The sequence below is a fragment of the Homo sapiens genome, chromosome 3, assembly GCF_000001405.40.
Source record: "Homo sapiens chromosome 3, GRCh38.p14 Primary Assembly".
NCBI lineage: Eukaryota > Metazoa > Chordata > Mammalia > Primates > Hominidae > Homo > Homo sapiens.
In genome coordinates, this window is record NC_000003.12 from 5,562,039 (window position 1) to 5,572,251 (window position 10,213).

Genomic DNA, 10,213 nt, shown 5'->3' on the forward strand with positions numbered 1-10,213 from the left:
ATGGTGGAGGGGGATGAGAAATGATTTACAGTATGGTTGGAGTTGGAGCATAGTATAGACCAGGCAGGAGAGGAGGGTGGTTACAGATGAGACTAGAGTGGAAAATAGAGGCATGCAGGATCGCTTATTCCTGTTGAGATATTTATATTACATTCTAAAAACAATGGCAAACTAGTAAAATTTTTCGGCAAAATTGACTGTGCATTTTCTAGTTCCTGGTAGATGTGACAGATGGGAGCACCTGGCATAATCAAGACACGGCCTATTCCCCTCAAGGTGGACTCTTGACCTTAGAAATAAGGCTGAAGCCACTTATGAGAATTGAGATCTATGATCAGGGTATTATTGTAATTGTGTGCTGGTAAACAGGCTCTATGGGGAGAATGGTCCTCTGATTTGTAGTGTTTCCAGTTTTCCACTGTAATGTTTGCAAATTTCCATGGTGTAAATATTTCTAAGAAGCTTGAAAAATTCTTGAAAATTTGACAGTTAGCTCATATGAGCCTTCTTCCTCACCACTAGTTATGCCACTATGTTTCTGGCTGACAAAACTTTCACACATTGCATTAGAGAGCCTTAACCAGTAGATCTCAAACTTGACCATGCATCAGTGTCACTTGGAGGCTTGTTAAAGCATAGATTGCTGGGGCTCTCCTCCCAGGATTCTGATGCAGTATGTCTGGGGTGAGGCCTGAAAGTTGGTGTTTCCAACAAGTTCCCAGGTGATGAAATGCTGCTGGTTAGGGGACCATGCTTTCAGCATCGCTGTCTTTAAATTACCCCTTCATCCTTACCCCTAGATGAGATGAATCCCTGATTATTATGGAGGTGTTGGGCCTAAAGATAATTGCTCCCCTTTTGTAGACAGAGGAAAAGAAAATAAAGCAGAGATTCAGGTCGATTATGAAAGAGGAGACATTAAAGGCAGCGTCGTGATGTAAAATGAATCAGAATTTGGATTCAGAAGATGTGGGATTGAGTATTGCCTTTGCTGGATGAATTTAGAGGTGTTATTCAACCTGTGGTTTTTTCCGTTGCTGTGATTTGAATGTTTGTCTCCTTCAAAACTCAGGTTGAAGTTTAATTGCCATCGTAAGAGTATTAAGAGGTGGTGCCTTTAAGTAGTGATTAGGCCAGGAGGGCTCTGGTCTCATTGGTGGGTTTAATGCCTTTAAAAAAGGGCTTTGGAGAGTGGGTTCTCTCTCCTTGCTATTCTGCTCTTCTGCCCTGAAGGAACAGAGTTCCTCCCATCTGAAGGATGCTGTGTTTAAGGTGACGTCTTCAAAGTAAACACTGAGCTCTCATCAGACGCAAACCTGCCAGTACCTAGATCTTGAGCTTTCCACCTCCAGTACCATGAGAAATTTCTACTGTTTGTCAATTATCTCATCTGTGATATCCTATTACAGTGGCACAAAATGGACTGAGACACCCGTCTATAAAATAGTCTTTAATATCTTTGATCTCCCAGGGTTGTAATGATCATGTGAAGCAAATTGTCAACTAGTGTATATTACTGCCAACTGTCATTTATAACTTCAAATTACTATACAAACGTTATCTGTTGTTCTTAGAGATGATCAAGTGAGAAGCTGAAGCTCAGAGAGGTTAAATTATTACATTGCTAGAAGCAAGGCCTGCTGATTTTCAGCTTAGTGTCCTTTTCCTTGTATTAGTGGTTTTCAAATTTTTTTTTTTTTTAGCCAAGGGACTCTTTCTTCAAATGAAACCTTAGGAGAAAGAACAATATAGGAAATGATGAAAGAGGAGCTGCTCTTATTGAAGTGGGAGGAGGTAACTATAGCTGGAGATCTGATGCAATACCCCTGAAACTTTAAGGTGTTCAAGTCCAGTGTGAAAACCTGAACACTCACCAGCTGTTTCCTGGAAGCCCTTTCTGCGTGGGATGGCAGTGAGCAAGTTCGCTGGACAGTAACCATGATAGACTTCAGGATAAGGTCAACACCAGTGGATCTCACATTGACAGTAGTGAAAATCACCTGAGGGGCCGGGTGCGGTGGCTCGTGCTGGTAATCCCAGCATTTTGGGAGGCCAAGGTGGGTGGATCATGAGATCAGGAGTTTGAGACCAGCCTGGCCAACATGGTGAAACCCTGTCTCTACTAAAAATACTAAAATGAGCCGGGTGTGGTGGCATGTGCCTGTAATCCCACCTTCTTGGGAGCCTGAGGCAAGAGAATTGCTTGAACCCAGGAGGTGGAGGTGGCAGTGAGCTGAGATCACGCCACTGCCTTCCAGCCTGGCCAACTGAGCAAGACTTCATCTCAAAAAAAGAAAAAAAAAGAAAAAAGAAAACCACCTGGGCTAGCTTTGGAAAATTCCTATGCCCAAGCTACACCCCAAACTAACTACATCAGAATATGTGGAGTGAGAATCTGTTATTTGTATTTTTAAGTTCTCTTGGTGACTCCAAGGTGCAGCTCAGATTGTGAATCAGATATGTACCAGTGGTTCTCAATGTGTGATGTCCAGACCAGCAGCATCAGTATCACCTGGGATCCTGTTAGGAATCCATATTCTCAGGCCCACCTCAGACTCTCTGCAACAGCAACTCAGGGGTTGGAGCTCAGAAGTCTGTGTTTTAACAAGCGCTGCTGCTGATTTTGATGCATGCTAATTTGAGAATCATAGTATAAGAGCCCTGGTTGTCAGATCAGTATGTATTAGATTCACCTGGAGAGCTCGTGCAAGCTAAAGCTACCTGTGTTCAGGTCCAGAAACTATGATTGATTAGGTATGGAAAGGGGCTTGAGAATTTAATGTTTTTATGAACTCTCTTGGTAGTTTGGAGGCAGGTGATTTGTGGGCTATCCATTGAGAAGGACTGTTCTAAAGCAGTTGTTACTAAGCATAGTGTGGGGACTGGCTGTATCAGAATCACATAGGGAGAGATATTTGTTTCTTGGGTTCCACCTTTGGAGAGAGTCTAGGGTAGTAGATTCAGAGTTTGAGCCCTGGAATCTCATTAAAACGTTATCATGTGATTCTTACACATAACCAGGTATATCAACTAGCTTTTTCTGGGTAATAATCCCATGAGAGCTTAAAGCAGTGATCATTTAGTCTTACCTATCTACAGGTTGGTTGGAGCAACCCTGCTTTATGCTGTGGGTCTGGTGACTTGGGTCTCCTCAGAATGAAACATTCTGACGCCCAGGCTAAAGGAGCAGCAGCTCCTAGAGGAAGCTCTTCTTACACAGTGGTGGAAGGACAAGAGGGCACATCCAACTGCGCAAGAAGTTTTCCAGCCACTCCTTTGCAGTTATGTCTGCAAACAACCCGTTGGTTAAAGCAAGTCAGCAGGTCCAGTGCAAAGACAAAGCAAAAGGAGGATTATTCCTTCCATGGAGTGGAAATGGGGGGAAGTAAATATTCTTGAATAATAAACTAATATACCACACTAGGTTTGGGATTGATAAACTGACCTTTCATTGTTTGTTTTGAAAATCCACCCTCCCCCTGATTCCTCTTCCTCCTCCAAATATGTGCCTATATACCCTGACCACAAGAGAGAGTTGGACAGCCTCCTTATACCCCTACTTCATTAAAAAGCAAAACAATTTTCTGGCAGTATGTATCTTTCTAAGGGTGAGAGATCCCTAATTTGTTAGTTACATGCTTAGAGATGCATGCAGTCTTAAGGCCACCGGGGAGATAATTAGAAATTACCCCAGGTCACCCCCTCATTGCAGAGATGAGAGAATTGAGCCTGAGGGAGGGGAAGGGATTTATTCAGTAAAGGTATCTAACAAGTGGCAGAGTTGGGACTACAATTCAGTCTCTCAGGTCCTAATTCCTGTGTTCTTTCTTCTGCATTGCAGTTTTTTTTTTTTTTTTCTGAGCTGAGTAGAAGAATCAACATGTCTATTCTTTTATAGGTTCTGGATTTATAGTAATTTTAAATGAGCTTATTTAAATTGTAAGAAATTGTAAATGTTGGGTATCCATCAGTTGGGGGGCTGGTCTAGACTTCACCCTCCTGGGATTTCAATATATCTTCAAGAGACTTTCTCTCCCCAGTGAGAATTATTGACCCCAACAGTCACTGGACTCATTAGGCTGTGCCTTGCCTCTCAGTTCTATAGGGGAAGTAAGCACAGAAGACCATTTGTGAGCATCAAGGAGACTTGAGCTTCTGTGTTTTTCCTCCAATTTAGGGGCTTACTTCGATCTGAGACTGGGACTTTGGCAGCTACGGGCCTGCTGGAGACCCCTTCCAGGTGTCTCTGCACCTGGAGTTCAATTCTATTATCTGACTTGACTTAAGAGGCCCAAATGGCTGGTTCTTGGCATTCTCATTATTGTCTAGAATGGCACCTAGTTGTTTTTATTTTCCAAGTAGGGAGACTGAAATTATATTCTACATGCATTGATTATTTTTGTTGATTTTTTTCTCAGTTTAACTAGAATCATCATGGGGAAATTAGAAAATGAGGAGATTGTGCCCATTAACTAGAGGGAGGATATAAATAGGTCTGAACTGGGGCAAAACAAAGGAAACATGGAGGGAAAGGTAGGAAGGCAAAAGTGAGATAAAAAGATGCACTGAGAATTCTGACGATTATCCTGCTCCTTGCCATGGAAACTTTAGCTGATAGGAGATTCCATGTGGAAATGTGGTGTTTGTACGAGAATTAAACTTGTCCAGAGCCAATGGTTCTGGGTCAGGTGTCCTTGACTTGCCTTGTGACTGTTGAGTATCTCCACATTTCTACCTCCAGGTTCAATCAGATTCTTCTGCTAGATGACCATGCTGTAGCCAGTCTCCATGATGACCCCCACTGATTCTTCTCTTTTGAAAGTCACGTGCATGTTTAGTCCCCTCCTGCACTGAGTAGGGTCAGCCTGTTTGACCAATCGAATATTGGGGGAAATGGCAGACTATAACCTCTGAGGTTAAGTTATAAAAGACATTACGGCTTCCACCTTGCTCTTTTTTGGGTCACTCACTGTGGTAAGCCAGCTGCCATGTTAGGAAGGCAGTCCCATAGAGAAGTCCATGATACAAGACTTCCTGACAACATCCAGAATAAACTTGTCTGCCATGTGTGTGAGCCATCCTAGAACCAGATTTTCCAGCTCCAAGCCTTCAGTTGAACATAGCCTAGCTGATGTTTGGACTGAAACCTCATGAGAAACTGGAATTAGAACTGCCCAGCTAAACCACTCTTGAATTCTTGACTCAAAGAGTGTGTGATAACAACGAACATATTGTTGTTTTAAGCTGCTAAGTTTTAGGATTTTTTGTTATGCAGCAATGAATAACTGATACACTCTGGAAAAGTGTGTTTTGCTCCCCATTGTTTTCCAAGAACTTAGCACAATGCGTGTCTTATATTATGAGCTTAATAAATACTGTTTGAATGTATGAATGTGTTCTTCCTCTCCCAACTACATGCACAAACACATACATCCATCATTCCCATTGAAATCAGCTGGGCCCACTCTACCCTCAGTAGGCCACGTGCTTCTCCATCACTGTGTGTATCTCGAATCCCTTTCCATGCATAATGTAATCAGTAGCCATTGGACAAACCTTATAGATACAGTAATGTCTATTTTCTACCCATCCTTCAAACCCTTGCTCCAGCCCATAAGGCTTCTCCTGATCATTATGATGCACAGAGTAAGCCCTCCCTTCCCCACAGCATCAATCCAGGCTCCAACAAATGGCAAAATCAAATGGAGTAATTTGAAGATAATTAAATAGACTATTTGAAAGGTGGGACTAGGGTTAAGAAACACCAAAAGAGGATGGTGAAGCACCCTGAGACTAGCAATAACTGGGAACTATTACCATCCCTAGACCAAAAGGGAAAGTGGAGTGAGTGATGACCACAACTTTGAGAGGGAGCTGTAGAGATGGATTCCTAATGGGAGCCTTCAGTGAATAGGAAGGAAGGGAATAGGGGAAATAAATACCCTCACCTGACTCATCCCACCCTCTTGATCTCTTACTGGGCCCCCTATTGACTGAATCCAATTACAATCTAGAAAAAAGAGAGTCTGTCAGTGTATCCATATGCACTAACCTTGTAGGCACACAGCTTGGGGAGACAGGATACAGAGGGAACCTGGGGGGCACACAGAAGAAAGACATCCAGTAGCTCCCCTCCTCCATAGACTTTGCTACCTATAAACCTGATTTGGCATTTAGACATGTTTTACCCGTTGTCTTTCTTGTATTGCTACCATGCATTACTATTTAGCTCTTGTATGTTATTTAACTTTTCAGGTATTAATGACTGCTCTTTCCAGCAATATTTTCAACTTCTAGAGTGTGATGAATATGTCTTAGGTTTCTGTCTCCTTAAGTAAGCTTAGTATAATAGTTACCATAAGGTTATTGTATTAGTCTGTTCTCAAGCTGCTATAAAGAATTGGCAGAGTGCCACTGCACCTCAGCCTGGTGACAGAGTAAGATTCAGTCTCAAAAAAAAAAAAAAAAAAGAATTGACCGAGACTATGTAATTTATAAGGAAAAGAAGTTTAATTGACTCACAGTTCCACAAGATGAGGGAGATCTCAGGAAACTTACAATCAAGGTGGAAGGGAAAGCAGGCACCTTTCTCACAAGGTGGCAGCATAGAGTGAGTTTGCGAAGGAGGAACTGTCAAACACATAAAACCGTCAGATCTTGTGAGGACTCAGTAGCACGAGAACAGCCTGGGGGAAACTGCCTGCATGATTCCATCACTTCCCTTGACATGTGGGGGTTACAATTCGAGATGAGATTTGGGTGGGGACACAAAGCCAAATCATATCAGTTATCACTCCAAATTTGTTGATGGCACACAATTTTGTGAAGTACTTATTTGTTGAGAGTTTTTCCATGAGCCGTCAATGACAGAAGTGCAGGAACTGTATTTATTTAATGTTAGCCGTGGCCAGGTATACTTCTGTGCAAACCAGGCTTTATCTTACACATAGAGTCCCTCAGGGGTAGAATAAATTATTTAGAGGGTATCCGTCCAAACTGCAAAACATGAATTCCTTCTATAATATCTCTGATATATTATTATCTAGTCAGGGCTTTAGATACCCCTAATGACAGGAATCTCATTACTTCATGGAGTAGTAGAGTCCAGTCAGTAGCTTGGATGAATAGAAAGTTCTTTCTCAGCAAAATCACTCAGTAAGTTATTTACCTCTAAGCCCTGGCAGTCACTTACGTGTTTTGTCATTATACTTTTTCCCAGAATGCTGTATAAATGAAATCAAATAGAATGTAAACCTTGTGAGACTGGCTTCTTTCAGTAGTATAACGGATTTGAGATTCATTCAAGTTGTCGAATCTATTACTTGTTTGTTCTTTTTTATTGCTGCATAGTATTCTATTGTTTGGTTATACCACAATTTGTTTATCCACTCACCTGTCAAGTGACATTTGAGTTTTTTCTAATTTCTTTCTTTTTAAATTTTGTATGTTCAAGTGAGTTCTTGTTACGATATTTTTTTTTGTGTGATATATTACCAGTGGAAATTTTTTAAAGCTTTGGTTAAGAGCAAATTATCCCTAGAACGAATTTTATTTGCTTCAGACAATGAGCTCACCTGACGGCTAGCTTTTGAGCTATAAATTCTGGTCATTTAATTTTCTTGGTGACAATATTTCAGCAAGATAACCTTCCTTGAAGCCCCCTAATAGCACATTTCCCCCACATTTACCTATTTACTGAAGGTATAGTTCTTTGGGTTATGGCTTTATGGGGTGGGTCCAGCATAAAACCTTTGGTGTCCCTGAATATGGTCTTTTGAGTTCAGCAGGAACGTAAAAACCAATGGTCAATTTCCACAAATAATTGCCCTTAGGTTGAATACTGGCTTCAGTGTTCTACTTGTGTTCATTTAGGTTTTACCCTCAGTATTCCTTATTTTCTTGCTAGATTATCTTTGCATTTAAGAAGATTTTAAAGTATTTATAGGCATTTTGGTTATTTTTAGTAGGACAGACATTGAGATTATTTGTCTACCACATTCCTGGAAATAAAACATTTTCTGCACTAGATTGCAATTCAACTAGATCTAAATTAAAATAAAGTATATTGAATACATATGATGTAATAGGAGAGGTTGAGACCAAGATTGTGGCCTAGTATATTTATTGCTTTGGTAATTGAGGATGAAGAAATTATGTACTCTCTTTGGACCTGTTTCGTTATTTATGCAATAGTAGTGCCTTGGATCACTTCTGTGTCTTTAAAGTGCTTTGATGATTTCCACGTTTTGGAGGTGATTATCCAAGTTTCTTCCAAGCCAATTTCTGTTATCATGACCGCCTTTTGTACAGTCTATGTTCAAGGTATTTCAGCGTCTCAGCTACTGTAATCAGAAGGATGCTGAACAATGCCCTGTTGAATATTTTCCAGGCAGAGTTTTGATTGTAAAGAGTAAAATGATTCAGTATAACTTGATCACATTATTCAGGCAGGAGAGAGTGTAATCATCTGAAGGGCTTGTTACTAGTGTATCTAAAAGTAATAGCCCAGCACTGCAAGTATAATTCACTGCACGCAGATTCAGGAGGCCAACAGCAGTCATGGGTGTATTCACTGGCTCTGATATGTGTGTGTGTTTATGTGTTTCTTGGTATCTGTCAGTAATACAGGATGGTGGTATTTTTTTTCCAAAAGGAAATTTTTGTTTTCTACCTAAGAGAACAACCCACTTATTTAAAAAGCAGTAATTGCCCACTTGTATAGTATACAACATCCATGTTGAAATTATGTGATTCTGCATCCTGAATCAGAAGATGCTTAGAGATGATCTAGTCAAGTTGCATGTTAACTTTTATAGCTATAGATGCTTTTTTTTTCCAGAAAAAAGACTTAGAATCCCAATATATAAAACGTATTAAATTAACATTTTACATACCTTTTCTGACAATAAATGTATACTTCACAAAAATTAACATTTTAATAGGATAAACTTACAAATCCAAGTATAATAACATTTGTTTAGTATGATATTAATATGTGAGGTCATTTTGATGAAACACATTTAAAACTCAAAAATTTGAAATCAGTACTTCATTTGTTCAACAAGTATCTCCTGATTTTCTATTTGGTGTGAGACACTGCTAAGGGACTGTGTTTTCCATATGGATTCCAGGGGTTGTGAATGACAATCACAGCCTTGTATCAGTCAGAGCATCTACGAAATTAGAAATTTTTTTCTCCTCAAATACATGTTTACAATACAAATTAAAATTTTGCAGAACCCTCGAAGCATCTACAGGGGGTACTACACAGAACACAGTTAATTTAATCCCATGATTTTACAGAAGAGATGAAAAGGGGACTGAAAGAGTTAATTGTTTGCTCAGATCAGGGAGGTAAAGTAACATCTGTCGTGTGCCTACTAAGTGCTGAAGGTGAGAGGTATTCCAAAGACCCAGCCCAGTGTAGTTGTGAAATTTACCTAATCTTTGTAATACTATTGATTTGATGTCATTATCCTTCTATTATTATTGATACTATCATCCTCCTATTATAGAGGAGAAAACTGAGGTACTTTGAGGCTAAAAAGGTAGGCAGCAGACAATTAACAAACGCTTTATTATCCACAGTGATGGCTTTGGTTATCAATTTAAGTAGGATTGATTTGATTGGTGTGTGTTTTAAATGTTATGTTATATAAACTTTCTATGTATTACTTTATAACTTTCAAAAAAAAAACTGAAAGCAGTAGATAAAATTCCCTCATTACCATATTACAAATGAGCAAATGAGAAAATTGAGGCCCAGTGAAGTTTCATAACTTGGCCTAGGAAGTACATGGTGGGGAGGAAGTGGCAGAGCTGGGATTCGAACCCAGGTGGTCTATCTGAAGAAGTCTGTTCTTTTTTAGCTAAGAGTGGTCAATACTCTGCACCAAAGACCACCAGGAACATGCCTGTGGTTCAACAAGTTGGATTTAGTTGTCATTGCAAGGGAGAAACCTCAGGGAGAACCATGAGTTCTCTGTGCAAGAGGCTGTTAGAAGGACTTGTAAGATTGGGGTTTGTGCTAGGTGATTTGAGGAGGCTTCAGCGAGTGAAAGCTTTATTCTGGATTGCATCCTGTCATAGAATGGGGTAATTCTGGTTGGGTTTCCTAATTTTATCTTTATAAATAAGAGAGGAATATGGTGAGGCTTGAGTTGGAATTGGTAAAGAACGTGCAGTCATCATTCTCTGGGACACGAAGAATATG

The 10,213-nt window shown here is 40.1% G+C and overlaps 1 annotated feature.

The window, feature by feature from the left end:
- Positions 1,419-2,618: an enhancer, noted in NCBI's record as "BRD4-independent group 4 enhancer chr3:5605144-5606343 (GRCh37/hg19 assembly coordinates)". NCBI's record gives its function as "activates an origin of replication core promoter dependent on BRD2, P300/CBP, MED14 and CDK7 cofactors, and independent of BRD4, by STARR-seq in HCT116 cells {active_cell/tissue: HCT116}" and the evidence as "EXISTENCE:reporter gene assay evidence [ECO:0000049][PMID:35650434]".